We start from the raw sequence: 20,944 nt of genomic DNA on the forward strand, positions 1-20,944 counted from the left end.
ATTTAGAAATAGGATCATTGCAGATATAATTAGTTAAGTTCATGTGAGATCATATTGGATTAGGGAGGTCCCTTAATTCAATATTTAACTGGTGTCCTTATAAGAGAAGACAGACATATGAAGTGTTGTGTGATGATGGAGGAAGAGACGGAAATGCTACACCTACAAGTCAAGGAATGTCAATAATTAGAAACTAAGAAGAGGCAAGAAAGGGTTCTCCCCTACAGATTTCACGGGAAATATATATTTGCCGACACCTTGATTATAAACTTTTGGCCTCCAGAACTATGAGACAATAACATTTCTGTTTGAACCTTCTTACTATGTTTATTTATTTTTCTTTATTCTCTACTCCCTTCTCCAGTCCCCACTGGTTCTCTTGTTCATCAATTTTATTTAGACAACAGTAATTTTAAATAATGTATTTGATTGCCATTGCTTCTTGATTCATTCTTCTTCCTCAACTTCAAGTTGTAGCTGGAAGATTTGTTATTCAGGTACATCCATTAAGCTATTCATCTAGTCTATTATGTTTTTGAATTATAAATTTAACAATTATATTTTTATTTTTGTCACTGTTGATTCATTCTTCTTCAATATCTTTTTTCTTTCCAAAAATATTAATTATATTTACCTGCAGTTCAATTCTAGATGCTTTATTATCTCTGTTTCTCGGGTATAAGTTATTGTTTGCTTCCTTACTTTTAAAGTGATAATGATAAAATGATAAACTTCATGTATATTAAAAATGGCTTTGTCCTAAAATGAGGGAGAAGTGCATATTTATTCTTTCTTCCTACATTTTGCAACTGAAATCTCCTGGTAGATAGCTCCCCTTCTTGACCAGGCTACCTGAGAGGAGTGATAAAAGAGATTGTTGGAGTTTTTGTTCTTTGCTATTTTTTGCTATAAGAGATAGACTGATGAGGTATACTGCTTAGTGAGGTGTCTTTGCAGATGTATTTCTGAACTGAACTAAATTGTTCCTAGTCTCAGCAGCCATCAGACCACTGCTCTGCAACTTGCCTTAAGCACTTCTACTACCTGAAGACATATAGCTCTGTTGCAGCTTCTTAGTGCACAAGGGTGTTAATGCATGTAGGGGTAAATTGCCTTGGCTGATATCACCACAGTTCTCCAACTAAACCCTTGTTAATTTCTCCTCGGTCTCTTTCTGCCTTCTTCTTCTGCCATGTTCAGACACATCTTAAACTTGATATTGCTTTGCTATTCTGCCGTAGATTTGGGTTGTGTTTTCCTCAATGTTTCTAGTTCTCTAAGATTTATTCTTTTTTTAATGTGAAAAATTATGACACAGTCACTTAAAAATATTCTATATTATTTCTAGGGTTTTGTATGGGAAGGAAGACTATACTCTTTCCATTGAACCAAAAGATCACTCCTGAACAAACAAAATTTTAGAAAATATTAAGTTACCTAGGTCAGAAACTTAGAAGTCATCCAAAGGAGAGATACATTAACATTTAAGATTTTTGGGCTGGGTGCGGTGGCTCATGCCTGTAATCCCAGCACTTTGGGAGGCAGAGGCCGGTGGATTGCCTGAGGTCAGGAGTTTGAGACCAGCCTGGCCAACATAGTGAAACCCCGTCTCTACTGAAAAAAAAAAAAAAAGTACAAAAAATTAGTTGGGCATGGTGGCGGGTGCCTGTAATCCCAGCTACTCGGGAGGCTGAGGCAGGAGAATCACTTGAACCCAGGAGGCAGAGGTTGCAGTGAGCCGAGATTGCGCCATTGCACTCCAGCCTGGGCAACAAGAGCGAATCTCTGTATCAAAAAAATAAAAATAAAAAGATTTTTGTATTTTGGGTTAAAAATTTTAGCAAACAATGGTTTTGTTCCATGAGTACTTCTAAGTTATAAATGTAAATTGACTGAATGAAGTACAACATAACTTGAAAGAAATAAGAATATTATAATAAATATTCAGCATATAAAAATTGTGAGGCATGACATTACAAAAATGGCAGAATAGAAGGGAATTTGCTCACATTCCCCCTCCTCAACAACATACTCTGTATTCATCCACAGTCAAAAGTCTCTGTGGAAATCTTTAAGTTAAGGTTCATCTAGGCTGGAAAGCTGTGTCAACCTTGAAGTCCTAATGAGAACTGTAGCAGACCTGGGCTTAAAGTGTCCCTCAGTGCTGAGATGGCTGCAGTTGGTCACAAGCTATGGAAAGACCACAGCCAGTCACCTTAGAATCTCTGGAAAGTTCTTTGGTGAAGGACAGGCACAAAGAAAGCCAGACTTCAAAAACTGAAATACCTTAACTCTCAACACACAGGCATTATCACACTTCTACAAGTACCAAAAACATTTAGGGCAATATGACCTCACCAAATAGACAAAACAAGGCAGCAGAGAGTGACCCTAAAGTTACGGACACATGTAATCTCTCAGACAAAGGATTCAAAATAGCTGTTTTAAGGAAGCTCAATGAACTTCAACAAAACACAGAGAATCAATTCAGAAATGTATCAGAAAAAAATTTAACAGACAGGTTAAAATAATTTTTAAAAAATCAAACAGAAATTTTGGAGCTGAAAAATACAATGAATGAAACTGAAAATGCCATAGAGAGCATCAACAGCAGAATTGATCAAACAGAAGAAAGAATCAGTGATTTAAAAGAGAGACTACTTGAAAATACACAGAGAAGAGAAAAGAAAAAAAAAACAAAAAGAAATGAACAAAGCTTACAGAATCTGTGGGACAACATAAAACAAATATTCAGATTATTGGAGATAAAGATGAAACTGAGAAAGAAAAAGAAGTAGAAAGCTTATTTAAAAAATAATAACAGAAAACCCTCTAAATGTAGAGAAAGATACAAATAAATACACAGGTACAGGAAAGTCAAAGATCACCAATCAGATTCACCTCAATTGAAGATATTCTAAAACATGTCATAATTAAACTTGCAAAGGTCAAAGACAAAGAGAAAACCCTGAAAGCAGTGAGAGAAAAGAAGAAAGTAACATATAAGAGAGAGTGGGACAATATTTTCAGAGTGTTGAAAAAAAAAGCAATCAAGAATATTGTACTCAGTGAAATTAGACCTCAGGAAATAAAGGATAGATAAAAAGACTTTCCCAGACAAACAACGCTGAGGGAATTTATTGTTTCCACATCTGTCCTATAATAAATGCTAAAGGGATTTCTTCAAATCGAAAGAAAAGGCCACTAACATAATTGTTATGCTTATATTGTAATTGCAGTATTTAAACCACTTATATCTTTAGTAGGAAGACTAAAAGATACAACAATTTAAAATAATAACAACTACAACAATTTGTTAAGAGATAGGCAATATAAAGTATGTAAATTCTGACATAAAATTCAAAATATGGGGGGATAAAAGATTTAATGTGTACTAGTTTTGGGTTTTTTTGCTTTGTTTCTTTGCTTTTTTGGCTATCAAAGTTAAGTTGGTATCAGTTTAAAATATTTGTTATAACTATATGATGTTTTTGGTAAGCCTTACAGTAAACAAAAGCAAAACCTTATAACAGATACACTAAAAATAAAAAGCAATGAATTAAAACATACTATCAGGGAAAATTACTTAACCACAAAGATAAGAAGAAAGGAAGAAATGATGTGAGGATTTACACAATAATTAGTAAACAAGCAAGAAAATGGAAGTAGTTTTACCTATCAATAATAACATTGAATGTTTAATGGACTAAATTCTCCAATTAAAAGACATAGTGGTTGAATGGATTAAAAACCTCACAGCCAGGCATGGCAGCACATGCCTGTGATCCCAGCTACTCAAGAGACTGAGGTGGGAGGATTGCTTGAATCCAGGAGTGTGAGAACAGCCTGGGCAACATAGTGAGACCTAATCTTTACAAAAAAAACAATACTTCAGTATATGCTGCTTACAGGAAACTTTCTTCTCCTATAAAGACACACATAGGCTGAAAGTGAAGGAATAAAAAAAGGTATTCCATGCAAATAAAAAACTAACAGAAGAACAGGAGTAGCTACACTTGTATTAGATAAAACAGATGTTAAGTCAGAAACTGTCAAAAGAGACAAAAAGGTAATTGTATAATAATAAAGAGGTCAATTCAGCAAAAGGATAAAAAAATAGTAAACGTATATGCAACCATCATTGGAACACCCCAATATAGGAAGCAAATATTAATAGGGCCAAAAGGTGAGATAGAATGAAATATAATAATAACAGGGGACTTCAGCATCCTACTTTCAGCAATGGATGGATCATCCAGGCAGAAAATAAATAAAAAAAAATTAGTGTAAAACTACATACTCTGAACCAAATGGACCTAACAGGCATTTACAGAAAATTTCATTCAACTGCTGCAGAATACGCATTCTTCTCATCAGTACATAGAACATACTCTAAGACAGACCCTATGTTAGGTCACAAAACAATCCCAAATAAATTTAAAAGTACCAAAATCACATCAAGTATTCTTTCTGACCACAACAAAGTAAAAGAACATTTAAAAACCTCAATAATAAGAGGGACTTTGAAAACTGCACAAAAACATGGAAATTAAACAACATTCTCCTGAACAATCAATGGGTCAGTGAAGACATTAAGAAGGAAATTTAAAAATGTATTTACTTATGTGGAGCATATTTTTAAAAGTAAATAAATTTATTGAAATAAATTAAAATGAAAACACAACATACCAGAACTTATGAGACACAGCAAAATGGTACTAAGAAGAAAGTTTATAGCAGTAAATGCCTTCGTCTAAAAAACAGGTAGCAAATAAACTACCTAACGATGCACCTCAAGGAACTAAAAAAGCCAGAATAAATCAAACCTAACATTAGTAGAAGGAAAAAAAATAAAGATCAGAGCAGATAAATAAAATTGAGACAAAAATAATAAAAAGACCAACAAAATGGAAAATTGGGTTTTTGAAAAGATAAACATCAATAAACTTTTAGCTAGATTAACTTAGAGAAGGAGCAAATAAATAAAATCAGAGATGAAAAATAAAACATCACAACTGATACCACAGAAATACAAGGGATCATTAGAGAATATTATGAACAATTATAAACCAACAAATTGGAAAGCCTAGAAGAAATGGATAAATTTCTGGCAACATACAACTCACCAAGATTGAGCCATGAAAAAAATAGAAAGCATAAACAGGTCAATAATGAGTAAAAAGATCAAAGAAGTAATAAAATGTCTCACATCAATGAAAAGGCCAGGACCTCTACTAAATTCTACCAAACATTTGAAAAATAACTTATACAAATTCTATTCAAACTATTTCCCAAAATAGAAGAGGAAGAAGTGCTTTCAAACTCAATATATGAGGCCACTGCTACCCTGATACCAAAACCAGACAAGGATAAAACAAACAGAAAACCTATGGGCCAATATCACTGATGAACATATATGTAAAAACCCTGAAAAATATTAATAAACAGAATTCAACAACACATTAAAAAGATCATTAGCTATGATCAAATGGTATTAATCCCAGGGATGCAAGGATGATTCAATATATGCAAATCAATAAACAAAATACTTCACATCAACAGAATCAAGAACAAAAACTGTATGATCATTTCAATAGATGCTAAAAACATTCTGTTAAATTCAACATCTCTTCATGATAAAATCCCTTAACAAACGGTATATCAGGAATGTGCCTCAATGCAAAAAAGCTGTATATGATAAGCCCACAGCTAATATCATACTGTCATACTATAAGGGAAAAAAGTAAAAGCCTTTCCACTAAGATCTGAAACAAACCAGATGCCCGCTTTCACCACTGTTATTCAACATAGTACTGAAGTCCTACCTATAGCAATTAGGCAAGACAAAGAAATAAAGTGCTTCCAAATTGGAAAGAAAAAAGTCAAATTACTACTATTTGCAAATGACATGTTTTTTTAGGAAAATCTAAAAGCTTCATGAAAAAAAACCTCTCAGAATTGATACATGAATTTAGTAACATTGCTGGATATAAAATCAATATATAAAAATCAGTAGCATTCTTGTACACTAACAGTGATCAATCTGAAAAAGAAATCGAGAGCACAATTCCATTTACAAAAGCTATCAAAAATATACTTAGGAATCAAGTTAATCAAAGAAGTAAAAGATCTATACAAGGAAAACTATAAAACACTTATGAAAGAAATTGAAGAGGACACAAATAATTAAAAAGATATTTCATGCTCATAAGTTGGAAGAATTAATATTGTCAAAATGTCTATACTACCCAAAACTATCTACAGATTCAATGCAATTCCTCTCAAAATACCAATGATATTATTCACAGAAATAGAAAAAACAATCTTAAAATTTGTATAGAACCACAAAAAAACCCAAACAACTAAAGAAAACCTGAGCAAAAAGACCAAAGCTGGTGGCACACACTATCTGATTTCATATTATACTGCAAAATTATAGTAAGCAAAACAGCATGATACCGACATAGAAACAGACAAGGATACCAATGGAACAGAATAGAGAAACCAGAAATAAATCCACACACTCATTCTCAACAAAGGCACTAAAAACTTACACTGGGGGAAAGGACAGTCTTTTTAATAAATGGTGCTTGTTAAAGCTGGATATCCATATGTAGAAGAATGAAACTAGATTCCCATCTTTCACCATACACAAAATCAACTCAAGCAGATTAAACACTTAAATGTAAAATCTGAAACTATGAAACTACTATGAGAAATTAGGGAAATGCTACAGGGCATTGATCTGGGCAAAAGTTTTTTGGGTAAAAGATCAAAAGCACAGGCAACCAAGGCAAAAACAGATAAATGGGATCACATCAAGCTAAAAAGTTTCTGCACAGCAAAAAGAACAATTAACAAAGTGAAGAAAAAGGACAGAATGAAAGAAAATATTTACAGACTATCCATCTGATAAGGGATTAATAACTAGAATATATAAGGAACTCAAACAACTTAATAGCAAAAAAAAAAACCCAGATATCCAATTAAAAAATGGGCAAAAGACCTCAAAAGACATTTCTCAAAAGAAGACATACACATGCCCAACTGGCATATGAAAAAATGTTCAACATCACTAGTCATCCGGGAAATGTAAATAATCAAAACTACTATGAGATATCATTTTACCCCAGTTAGAATGTACATTATCAAAAGGACAAAAAAAATAAAAAATGCTGATGAGATTACATAGAAAGGGAAACACTTGTACACTGTCAGTGGGAATGTACAGTAGTACAGCCCTTATGTAAAACAATACAGAGTTTCCTCAAAAAACAAAACCCAAAAATATAACTACCATATGATCAAGCAATTTCCCTGCTGGTTATATATCCAAAGGGAAAAATCAATATATTGAAGAGGTATCTGTACCCCCATGTTTATTGCAGCACTATTCACAATAGCTAAGATATGGAATCAACCTATGTTCATTAACAGATGAATGGATTTTAAAATGTGGCATATACACACAATGGAATAGTATTCAGTCATCAAAAATAATAAAATCCTGTCATTTGCAACAAGAAGTATGGTCATTATGTTAAGTAAAATAAGCCAAGTACAGAAAAATAAATATCACATGTGTTCTTATATGTGGGAGCCAAAAAAGTGGATTTCATGTAGGTAGAGAGTAGAATGGTGGTTATTATAGGTAAGGAATAGAATGAAGGAGAGGAGGATGAAGAGAAATTGGTTAATGAATACAAAAATGCAGTTAGATAGAAGGAATAAGTTCTAGTACTCAATAGCATAGTACAAAAATTATAGTTAACAATAATTTATTGTATATGTGTCAAAATAGCAAGGAAAGAATTGTAACACTTCCAACACAAAGTAAAGATAAATATTTGAGGTGGTGAATATCCCAATTACTCTGACTTGATCATTACATATTCTATACATGTATCAAAACATCATGTGTCCCAAAATATGAATAACTATGATACAACAATAATAAATATCTAAAATTGCTTTACAATTACTTATGTGTACGTAAGTATTGTATAATACTGTGATGAACATAAATTAATTATTAATTTCCAAGGGATAGTGCCTGAAAGTATTTTATTTAAAAAATTCTAAATTTAAAGGTTAATTACATCAACCCTTTGATATTAATGATGATGTTAGCCCAAATTTTTACAAAGAATAAATAGGTCAAAAATTCCAAAGTTTTGGAATCTGAAAGGTTTAATTACAGACTTTTTGAAAAGTTATATTTCCTCTAAACTGCTTGGAGCACAATCTACCATAAGTTTGATTTTTCTAACATTTTCTTTTATGGCCTTTATTAAACATATTCTTATTGTTTTGGACTTTTAATTCCTTTTTTCCTGATTTTTAAGCTTTCCATTATAGTAGTGCCTCTATGCAACCTTTCTTTTTATGTAAATGCCATTATATTCCATTTATCTGTCATGGCCAATCGATATTCATTGAGTACCTACTATTTAGGACCACAAAGCCTAGCAGTAATAATGATAATAAGAATAACATTATATTTATTAAATATATTTTATGTAATAGCTACCGCACTTGATATGTCACATTTGACTGAATTCTAACAAAGCTTCCTCATCTATCACAGATAAGGAAACTAAGGCTAAGAAAGTTTAAGTAACTTGCCTAAAGTTACAGAGGCTAAGAAAGTTTAAGTAACTTGCCTAAAGTTACAGAGACAATAGTGACAGAGAAAGATTTGAATCAGAATTTTTTGACTCCAGAGCCTTACACTAAGCAGATGTTTATGAATTATTTTGCTGAATAAATGGTTTAAATAATATATCCTTAGCTTTTGATTTCTCAGTAATTTTTACTTATCATCTAAGCTCCTTTTTACTTCTAAATTTCTATCTCATGTGAATATAATTTTCAATTATGTTTCATCTTCCTGGATAAATGTCATTCTATAAAACATATGCATCTCACAAAATTTCAAGCAGAACACTTTGGCTAAGCAAAACTTCAAAGTACACCTTACTCTTCAATAGAAAGATTTACTGCTCTAGGTTAAAATTAAATGCCAGTGAAAAAGCTTATGGCTAACTTTTAAAGGGCAAGATTTTTTGGTTAAAAGAAGGGAGGGATAGCATTAGGAGATATACCTAATGCTAAATGAAGAGTTAATGGGTGCAGCACACCAACATGGCACATGTATACATATGTAACAAACCTGCACGTTGTGCACACGTACCCTAAAACTTAAAGTATAATAATAATAATTTAAAAAGAACAATCATATTGTTTCCAATGCACTTTCATTTATATTATCTCTTCTTTTGCAATAAGACTGTGTAACAATCAAAGAAGTAAAATAACCTCTCCCTATACAGGATCAGGAGGCAGTAAGTGATAGAACTGAGAGTGGATCTCAGGGAATTCCCACTTTCCTCTCAGCTCAGGTTTCTTCCCAGGGCATCATCATAGCTATGCCCAGTAGACTGGCTCCCCAGGCTCATGTTTGGCATATTGATTTGTCTTCCTTAAATCATATTAGAGTCCAGAGATAAAAATCTCATTGTGAAATGTGAAACTGCTCTACACACATGATAATTCATATCCATTCTCTATTGGCTGAAAAACATGATCAGTCTGTTATGTGTTATTAGTAGTTCCAAACAGTGCAACAAAATATGGAATGAATGAGTATGTCCAGAGTATGTTCTCCTTACTATTATTTTCTACTTAAAGGATATGTCTGGTGATACTAATGTTCTCAATTTCTCACAGATTCTTTCAGATCTTATATTACTCTTTCTACTCCCCTCCATAGAAGGCAGACTTTCCTTAGGGGAAATTAGAGGGAAAGGGCACTTTTTCATACTGCCTGGAAATAATAGGTAAAATTGCCTGTGAAACACTTTATCAAACAGTGCTGGACTAAAGTGAAAGCACAATTTGCTTACAGTTAAATTTCTGGTTCACTGCATTTTACAAACTATTTTATAATGGAAAACAAATGTGTATCAAATTTGAAACAAAGGGAGAAGTTAGAAACTATTTTCCTAATTAGAGAATGGTTATCAAACATGTGGTGTTTTTCACTGTAAATAAATTTAGAAGATACCTTACTGAGTTGTATTTATTTGTCTTTGCATATCTTGGATGAATTTGTCTGTGACAAATAATGAAAAATATATATATGAATAGAGCTAGACATTAATTTTCTATTTTTACACAGTGATAATTACATTCTCTTCTCATTAACATTCCCATGAACTTCAAACATTAAGTGAGATTTTTGTTCCACTTCATCAGAGTTTTTCTATACATGGTATGGTCTTTGAAGTTAATTGGAGCCCTCCATGTTAAAGCAAGATGAGAGTTAAGAGTGAAAGCAAGCCCTGGCATCACTATCACAGAACTTGTGATAACCTCGATTGCAAGACCAGACAAGTTCTAACCATTATACAGAGAGCTCTGCCTACAAGTAACACCTGAGGGACAATACACTATGAAAACAACAAAGCACTGGCTGCTGCAGACAAGCACAATGACTTGAATGGGAAAAGCAAATTTTCTTTTCTCTTATATCTCTCATATCACTGAGAGATATAAGAGATCTTTTATTCACATTTAACCTACTGTGTAAATGACACCCATTAGAACAATAGTTTAGAGCAATAAGAGATTGATCATCCCAACTACCCATGTCTAAACTAAATATAAATAATATGTTCTGAGCACTGACTGTATTGGTCACTGTGGATGCAATCCTAAGCAAAGAAAAAACAGAGTTTGCAGTCTTTCATCTTGGATGAAAAGTCAATGGCGATATTCCTGGATAAAAGTTATACTATGATAATTTTTAGAGTTACTATATTTTGTAACACTTTAATAATGAAGGCCCACTTTTGTTTTTATTACTATTAATTTATGAGTGCTTGTTATTGTGGAGAATCTTTCTTACATTATCTCATTTAGTCATTTTAACAACCCTAGGAAACAGGTGTCTTTCTTCATTTTTAGCTGCTTGAGAGATGGAAGATTAAAAGGTTAAGTATTTTGCCCAGTGTCAAATAATAAATGAGAGGAGAGTTCAAACTCAGATCTGCCTCACTCTGAACTTACAAATAACAGGCTGTAATGCTCTTTAAAATGAGAAGTATAATTTGCAAGACTTTCAAGTCTCATATACATGGAGTCTTACTGAAAAGAACAGAAAAGCATTAAGTAACTGGTACATGACTAAGAAGTGCAGAAAAATACTCTTCTCAGAATCTAATTTTCTTCTTGACAATCAGGGACCCCTACTAGACAGAGCATGAAGATTTGTAGCAGCATATGGGCAGGGTACATGTTTTCTTTTCTTAAGCATTTAATAAAACATTGACTGCATTGAGGTTCTTTGTTTTACTGTTTGTTTTTGCTTTTTAAAAATATTTTGCAGATGAGCATTGAATAAAGTAGGTGTTTAGCAGGACCAGTGCAAGCAGATGCTGCACCGAGTCAAGTTTTCTAGTCAGGTGTTGCCTCATGCTCTGCCCTGCCCATCTCCACAGTCTCAATATTGCCTGCACAGTGTCTTCATTCACATGTTAAGGGAGCTGAAACTTTTAAATGAGTTTGAAAAAAAACTAATATTTTGCACCAAATTTCTGGATATGAATTTACATTAAGCCATTGTCAAAGTTATAAAATTGTTAAATTTTACTAGGGAGAGTTGCTGAAGAGGACCTACATATAAAATAATTTCATGAGAATTTATTTTGAAGACAGTCTGAGGTGAAGATTCTTTGAGTATCTGGCTCATGTAATATGCATATACTCTGCATATAGTAAATCAATATATTAAAGAAAATATATTGCTTTTAAAATCACACACGTAAATTTTTTCCCCTGCTTTTATAAATTTTACATGATTAAAAAGTAAAGAAATAGCACACGATTATCAACTAATGGTATTCTAACTAGGAAAATTTGTTTTAACCATAAACATGCATAATAAGATCCATTTACGCATCTATATAACACACAAATACTAAATACATAGATCTGTTGTTTTGATCCAATGAATCTGAATAAACTGCCACCTCATGAGCAGGTTATAGGTTTGGTGGTATAATCACCTTATTTTCTGAGGGAAAAAAATATAGAGCTATCTCTTTCCTGGGTTAATGAGGGGTAGTACACTGACACCCCTCCACTCTGTTTTGAATTTCAAAGTTACCTTTTCAATACAAAAATTTTCTCAACGATTGAAAAATCCATCTCATTCTCAAAGAATCAGTCAAGTATTCCTCTTGTAAGTAAGTACAGATAGCTAAGTTTCATAGCAGAAATCCCAGTGAAATTTTATGTGTGATTGCTTCCCTATTTGATATTATGTTTCCTCAGTATTCTAGACTCTCTGTGAGTTTGAGAACAAGATGGTTTTGTTATTTCACAGTTTATGCCTAGCAGAATACCTAACATGTATTAGGGGTTCAATCAATATCTACTGGATAAATAAATAAATTAGGACAAAAGATTTGAAAAATGATTTTTGTGTCTTTTCTAAGTTTAAGATTCTGTAGCATGGAAAGTTCATATGGAGCTAAAAAATAATTCCTGAATAGCCAAAGCACTTTTAAGCAAAAAGAACAAATCAGACATCACATTGTCTGAGTTCAAATTATACTACAAGGGTCTAATAACTAAAATGGCATGGTACTGGTACAAAAATAGACATATAGATGAATGGAACAGAATCCAGAATCCAGAAATGAAGCCACATAACTACAACCCACTGATCTTCAATAAAGCTGGCAAAAGTAAACAATGTGGAAAGGACATACTATTCAATAAATAATGCTGATAAAATTGGCTACCCATATGCAGAGGAACAAACCTAGACCCCTGTCTCTCATCATATATAAAAATTAACCCAATATGGATTAAAAACCTAAATGGAAGACTTGAACCTATAAAAATCCTAGAAGAAAACCTAGGAAAAAACTTTTCTGGACATTGGCCTAGGCAAATAATTCATGACAATGACCCCAAAAGCAAATGCAACAAAAACAATAATAGACACATGAGACCAAATTAAACTAAAAAGCTCTGCACAGTGAAAGAAATAATCAACAAACAGACAATCTACAGAATGAGAGAAAGTATTTGCAAATTATGCCTCCAATAAAAACTAATATCCATAAGCTACAAGGAACTCAAACAACTCAACAAGAAAAAACAAGCAACCCTATTAAAAATTGAGCAAAGAACATGAACAGAAATTTCTTAAAGGAAGAAATATAAGTGACCAACAAACCTATGAAAAAATGCTCAAAATCACTAATCATCAGAGGAATGCAAATTAAAACTACACTGAAATATCATCTTATACCAATCAGAATGGCTACTATTAAAAAGTCAAAAAATAATAGATGCTGGCATGGATTTAGAGAAAGGGAATGCTAATACACTGTTGGTGGGAATGTAAATTAGTACAACCTCTATGGAAAACAATATGGAAATATCTCAATAACTAAAAATAGAACTACTGTTTAACCCAGCAATCCTACTACTGGGCATCTACCCAAAGGAAGAGAAAGCATTACATAAAAAAATAAACACCTGCACTCAGATGTTTATTGCAGCACTATTTACAATAGCAAAGTAATGGAATCAACCCAAGTGTCTGCCAATGGTTGATTGGATAGAGAAAATGTGGTATATACACCATTGAATACTATGCAGCCATAAAAAAATAAAGTCATGTTCTTTGCAGCAACATGGACAGAGCTGGAGGTCATTATCCTAGCTAACTCAGAAGCAGATCAAATATCACATGCTCTCTCTTATAAGTGGGAGCTAAACAAAGGGTACACATGGACATAATGATGGTGATAACAGACACTGAGAATTCCAAAAGTGGGGAGAGGTTCCAGAGAGTGAGATACAATGTTCAATATTTGGGTGATGGGTACACTAGAATCCCAATCCCCATCATTACACATTTAGTGCCCATGTAACAAACAAGTACCTGTACCCTCTGAATCTTAAATTTTTTAAAAAAGGATTTGGGATTTAAAAAAATTATGTAGCACAAGAGTTAATAGAAAGAGTTATTGAGTACATTGTATCAAACACTCATATATCATTTAATTCAATCCTTACAACATCCTGAGAGAGTAGTTTTCTTATCCCTATTTTACAGATGAGGATATAGGTTGAGATAGGTCACACAGCTAGAAAATAGTAGAGTTACATTCCCTACTGAGGTCTGTGTGAATACTGAGGCCATGCTGACTCTTGTGGAGTACAGCCTCCGACATGTTGTTTGATTGAGACGTGTTCTGTAAGCCAAGCAGTTCTAATTATATAAGAGAACTAATAATGCTCATAAAACCCCAAAATATCAGGATTTTAAACTAGTCCAGATAATTCACAAAAACAATCACGACTAGGCTTAAGACCAACCCAATGAACTAATGTTTGTCTTAATTTTCTTTCAATGATCTTAATCTCCCAAAGTTCATCTAGTATTCTTCACCTATTAGTTAGGGAAACATACACATGAGATTTTCTGAGACAGTCCCAGTTTACGCCTATATTCCTGGTGATGTTATTAGTAATACCCCCTTTTACTCACAAAAGTGTTTCACTTTAGATTATATTTCTGATCATCCTACCTTTCAGGGCTCTCTTGGCCTCTGAGCTCCCAGGATCCATTGTGTTTCTGTTGCCTGGGGCCCGAACTGTGGAGTTCAACTTGCTAGAAACTTTGTCTTACTTCTCATTCTCTAGCAAAATTACTTGCCCAGAAAGCAGTGCCCTCAGTCCTTACTTTTTATGACGAACTATTCTATTCCATGCTTTGCCTGACTTAAATGTTCCATCTCTCACAGGTGACACGTATATATTTCAAATGAAACTTCCATTTAGACAGATTTTTTAAATAACCAAAGTTAAGTTGACCCTTCTACTTACAGCAGGTTATAGTCATTGTCTTAATCCATTACAGGTTTTCCGTATCCAGCACTAAAACTATGTAAGCCAGTTTTACTTTTAGGGAAAAGGATTACATTTCCTCACCTCTGATATGATCACTTCTTTGGAGTTCCTTCCACTTTAGGCTTATAAGCAAATATTGGGTTGATGCTTGGTAAATCCACTGATTAGAGTGAAGTATTGCTCAAATTCTAAAAGTCCAATTAGCATGCTTCACTGATGCCTCTTTTTAACCAATGCTATATTGTACCCCTTTCTTCTACTTATCCCAGGGTTTGGTTCAATTTCAGATGACTCAAATCAACAAGATTCTATTATGATTTCCTGTGACATAGCAACTCATTTGACCCATAATTTTTTTTTATCTTACCGTGTGTCTTGCAGACAAAATAAGACAGTAAATTTGTTAAAATGTCAGAAATGTTTTCTCAGACCAAAAATGTCTTTATTGTTTTAAAGGGAAAATTTTGCACCCAGTGATATAGTTTTCAAAAGTAAACACCTTGTTGTGTGGAATAAAACTGTATTTAGTTTATATTTGAAAAATGCTAATTTTAAAAATATACTTAAAATTTACTGTCACTTCAAAGGACGTGTGACTTTCCTAACTGGAAATTGTATTGTTATTATGACAAATAACAGTGATTCAAAAGAATTCTTACTGTCATAAATTTACTAGTATTTTCTCTTCCTTTCCCAGGACAAAGTTGAGGATTTTTAAATTAAATTAACATCTTTTAACGCAAATTATTTTTCAAACTAGATTTTTTTAATTATACTTTAAATTTTAGGGTACATGTGCACAACGTGCAGGTTAGTTACATATGTATACATGTGCCATGTTGGTGCGCTGCACCCATTAACTCGTCATTTAACATTAGGTATATCTCCTAATGCTATCCCTCCCTCCTCCCCCCACCCCACAACAGGCCCCGGTATGTGATGTTCCCCTTCCTGTGTCCATGTGTTCTCATTGTTCAATTCCCACCTATGAGTGAGAACATGCTGTGTTTGGTTTTTTGTCCTTGCGATAGTTTGCTGAGAATGATGGTTTCCAGCTTCATCCATGTCCCTACAAAGGACATGAACTCATCATTTTTTATGGGTATCCCATTTTAAAAACTATATATGTTTTTGAAAATGGCAAAAAGTTGTCTCCTCGGGTTGCTTTGCTCCAGTTAGATGGGATGCACACAAGTAAAAATAAGAGGGATATGGAGGAGAGAAAGAGAAGTAGTTGGTATAGACTTTGGTAGACTCAGAAGGTAGCATAAACCTGACTTCTGTGCCTCCCTTATACTACTAACAACTCAGAAGTGTGCCTCTTACCGTTTGTTAACCACAAAATCAAGTAAGAATTGATGTAGGTCCATTGTTTCACCAGCACCATGTGGAAACTTGCTAGAAATGCAAATTTTTAGGCTCTATCCCAAACCAACTGAACCAGAAACTCTGGGGATGAGAATTTGCAATTGCGCTGTAACAAGTCCTTCAGGTGATTCTCTTGTACCTTAAGTTTCAGAACCATTGCTTCAGGATAAGGATACCACGGACAGGAAAGAGGACCATAAAAACAGTTTCTATTCTCAATGAATTTACAATCCAGTGGGAGAAAATGTTAGCTAGGTGGAAAGATCATTCATGATTCCAGCACAACTAATGCTACCTCCCAGACTGCACAGGGCCATAGGCAGAATAGAAATCCTATATGGCTGAGTGATTGGGAAGGTGAGATTTGACATGAGCCTTTCTGGCAGAAACTCCTAGCTATTCACAAAATCCCTATTTTATTTCGTCCATGGCACATAGCAAGACCATATTCCCAGCTTTCCTTAGCACTACATGTAGTCATAAGACAACTTTTTCTATGAGCAGAAGTGATATGTGCTGCTGCTAAGCTAAGGATTTCAGAAGTGGGTGTTTTCTTTTAATGCATTCTCTCTTTATCTTTTTGCTGGCTGTGAGCAAGTGGAAATGTCAAGAATCTGGGAATGGTAGAGTTCCAAGATGGAAGAAGTCTGTGTTCCTGATTCATTGCATCAAAGAAAACTTTTTGGAATATTCAGTGAAAAAGAAGTAAAGTTCTATTGAGTTTTAGCAGTTATATATTGGAATACAATACTAGAAGTAGTGTGAAAAACAATGCTATTCTACTGAGAGAGAAAATATTAGTAAAGCCATGGAAATGTCACCAGAGGGTGGCAACAGTCAGAAGTGGCTGCAGCATCAGCATGTCTGTGTGGACAAAATGACTGAGTTTGTTGGGTCAGGGAGGACTGAGCAGATTCTGGAATGTTACATAAGTTAGAATGCTTTGGCTGCAACTAACAGGTAACTCAGACTGGATTTTAAAAAATAAGGCAGTTAATTAATGAAACAGGAAGTTCCAAGGAGTCAGGCTCAGGCATATTCACTAAGGCATCTTTGTGATGAAGTCTCTTGTCTCTTTCCTCTTACACATGTTGACTTCATCCTCAGGCTTGAAACAAGAAGACTGTAGCCCTGCATCTTGTTCCAGATGAGTGATCCAGATCTAACATCACCCAGGGCCCAAAGGTCATTTTCCTCAAGACTATTTTTTGAGGAGAGGAGTATTTTCTCAGAATCATGTTCCTACATAACACTGACTTCTCCTCATATCCCATTAGGATGTCTTGCCATGTGCTCATTCCTAAACTAGACATTGACAAGGGGAAAATAGAATCACTGCCCATGGCTCAGACCACTGGCTTTCAATCCTGTTTGCATATTAGAATGCCCCAGAGAGTTTTGGTAAAACCTTGATGCCCCAACAACTGAGATTCAATAGGGCCTATGTCTTGGTAATTAAATAAAAAAATCTCCCCAAGATATTCTAATCTATAGCCAGAATTGAGAAACTCCAACTTAGATGAATCATTGGAAATTGAATGGATTTGGGGGTAGTAATGACAGAGAAAACCATAAAGGACTTACTTTAATTTTAATTTTATTTTCTAGACTGAGAGGAGCCATGGAAGATTTATAAACAGAAACCAGGGCCATGTTATCAAAAAGTGACCCGATAAGCTATGGGCCCCTCTACCCAGCAGAGAGTCTGACAAAGCCCTCAGAAGGTGCTCAGTCACTATCAGTTAGGTGAATCAATGAACCGAAAATTCTGCAGACAAGCATACTGGTTCAGCCTTTGCATCCACTGGGCATGTAAAAACTGGAATAGGTAAAAGAGCTACCATGTATTCTGATTTTATCTTCTTTATAAGCAAACCTAAGACTGTTTTGGAAATCCAAATGTATAATCAGATTTTTAAAATAAATTTTAGGTAATTATTATTTTGATTTTTAGATAATTGTTTTATGTCTCTAAAACTCAGATTCTGAGTCTTTTCAATCTAAATCTGTTCTCATGGCGGCCGCGAGCGCCTTTGATTCCATTGAAATATGAAACAGATTTTCTCAATCCTGGTTCTCAACTAGGGGAAGTATTGCCCCCTAGGGTACATTTGTCACGTGTCTGGAGACATTTTAAGTTGTCTCAACTGGGAAAATGCTATAGGCATTTAGAGGAAAAATTATAGGAATACTGCTAAACATCTTACAGTTCACAGGGTAGACCTTCACAACAAAGAATTATCTGGCCCAAAATGTCCATAGTTCTGAAGTTGAGCAACCCTGATCTAAATATTAATCAAGCATACTTTTATAAGCACCCTATACTAAATGCTGCAATTATTATGAAACCTCCTGAGACTTCAGGGATTTTAAAAGACAAGTTGGTTAATAATTGCAAAGACTTGGAGACTAAATCTTGACTGTTTGGGGTAGATCTAGCTTTTTTGTAAACCCTCAAATAAGCTTTCCCAAGCTTTGAAGACCTAAGACAGGGGACTTGTGCAGGCTTCCCTCATGGGCTGGCGCCCTGTTGGCGATGTTGTACACAGGCAATGCCAGCCAGATGATTTTATCCTAATCAGGATTTGTATGGACATGACATTTTGTTTATTCTGTTGCCTTTTTGTTCTTCTGATTCATAAACAGCAATAGAGTGGAACAATTATCTCTTCTTTTTGCAGACACAGATGTGTAAATGCATGGAGCTTTATATGAATCCAGCAATGCCAAAACAATTCATATTATGCTTCATCTACTGCACTGTAGAATTTCAGACTGAAAAAGTGTGCAAAACACTGTAATCCTCTTTATTTATATCCAAAATGGGCTCAGGAGTGGCCCCCTGGCATTCTGCATAGGCACAAAATTTCAACACTCATGCTACAGTCACAGAAAATGCTATTCCTAAAACCAGATTACAATTTTTTAATTTAACCTCAGTAGATTAGGTCCCTTCAGATAGTAAAATTTAAATGAATAAGTTTGATCCAAGAAACTTCATTTCTTATATTTCCAGTTTTTCATCCTCTGAAGCTAGGAAGAAGGGCAACATTTTGAACACTTAATTTGTATAGTTAAAAATACCAAATATAAGGGCTACACGATGCAATCTAGTGGAGATGCATTTAAACCTATCATCTAAGGCAAGGAACAGCAAACTTTCTGCAAAGGGCCAGGTATAAATATGTTAAGCCTTGCAGGCCATACGATGTCTTTCCCAATAACTTAACACTGCTGTTAGAGCATGAAAATAATCATAGACACTATGTAAGTGAATGAGTATGACTGTGCTCCTATGTAACTTTATTTATGGATCTGAAATTAAAATTTCACATAATTTTCATGTGTTGCAAAATATTATTCTTCATTTGATTTTTTTCCAACTTTAACTTTATTTCCCCCTTTTTAAATACCTTTATCCAATCTGTCAGCAATTCCTATCAACTTTCCCTCTAGGGTATGTCCTAAATATGACTGTGCTCCTGTGTAACTTTATTTATGGATCTGAAATTAAAATTTCACATAGTTTTCACGTGTTGCAAAATATTATTCTTCATTTGATTTTTTTCCACCATTTTAAAAATAGAAAAAATAATTCTTAGCTCATGGCCACAAAAACAGGCAATATGTTGAATTTAGCCCTCAGGTCATAGTTTAGCGACCCCTTCCCTAATGGACATGACTATATAAGAACAATATAAAACATAACACCAATCAGAAGGAAGATGATTATAAGAAAGACAGGAAACTACTTCAAATTTTCATCTTTAACCTAAAGACATCTTAAAGAAATTATTCTAATTTAATAATGAAAATAATTTGAGATTAATAAAAAATAAATGCTATTATAATAAATATGCTATAATGCAGCTAAATTGAATTGAAATTTTAAAAGAAGGCTCAACATCTATAGCAGCATTCAATTTTTTGATGGGAATTATAGTGACTTTGAAGAATAGTCTTAGGGAAATTTTATCAGGAATAGTCTCCACAAATTTCAAAGTCTGTCCTTCGTATTTTCTTTATATACTGGGTTTACATGAATTTGGCTTATGGAACATCTATTTTAATTAAATATAAGTAGAAAATTTACTCCTAAACCCATTTACTTAAGGTAATATTATTTATTATCAGGCATAGGAGGTATTTCAATGAAGAGGTATAGTCTACCTAAATCAGTTGCATATACCTTAAAATATAAAAACTCTCTGCAAGTTCAATAAATGAGTCCTGAATGATGGAATATGGCCTTTCTCCTCTTACAAAAAATCCTGAATGTACATCTCAAAGAAAATCATTTGAATGCGTACCCTTTTGATCTGAATGGACTTGCCTTAATAGGAACCATTAAAATAAGTGAGATTAGGTTTTCCCTTCATAGAAAACCATCTAATCTCTTCTTCTAAATGAATATCCCTCTTGCTCCTTCCCTTGGCTGAATCTTGAAAGTAGTAGTTAGTGAAACCCAATATTACCTAATTCCAAAGTTTGTGAACCCCACAATTCTATTTGAGATTGTTAATTCATGTTTCATCCTGCTGCTCTTCTGCCTAAAATGCCCTTCTCATATTCAAGAATAACTCAAATATAACCTCCTCTAAGAAATTTTTTAGGCCCTCCACCTCCACATTCTTCCACTACA

General features: G+C 33.9%; 1 long non-coding RNA gene across 2 annotated transcripts in view; it reads right to left on the reverse strand.

Moving 5' to 3' along the window:
* The window catches only part of LOC105377462 (uncharacterized), a 360,687-nt gene that overhangs the window by 55,424 nt on the left and 284,319 nt on the right, over positions 1-20,944 (reverse strand). The gene's annotated exons all lie outside the window — the stretch shown is intronic.

Source organism: Homo sapiens, chromosome 4 (genome assembly GCF_000001405.40).
Source record: "Homo sapiens chromosome 4, GRCh38.p14 Primary Assembly".
Lineage (NCBI taxonomy): Eukaryota > Metazoa > Chordata > Mammalia > Primates > Hominidae > Homo > Homo sapiens.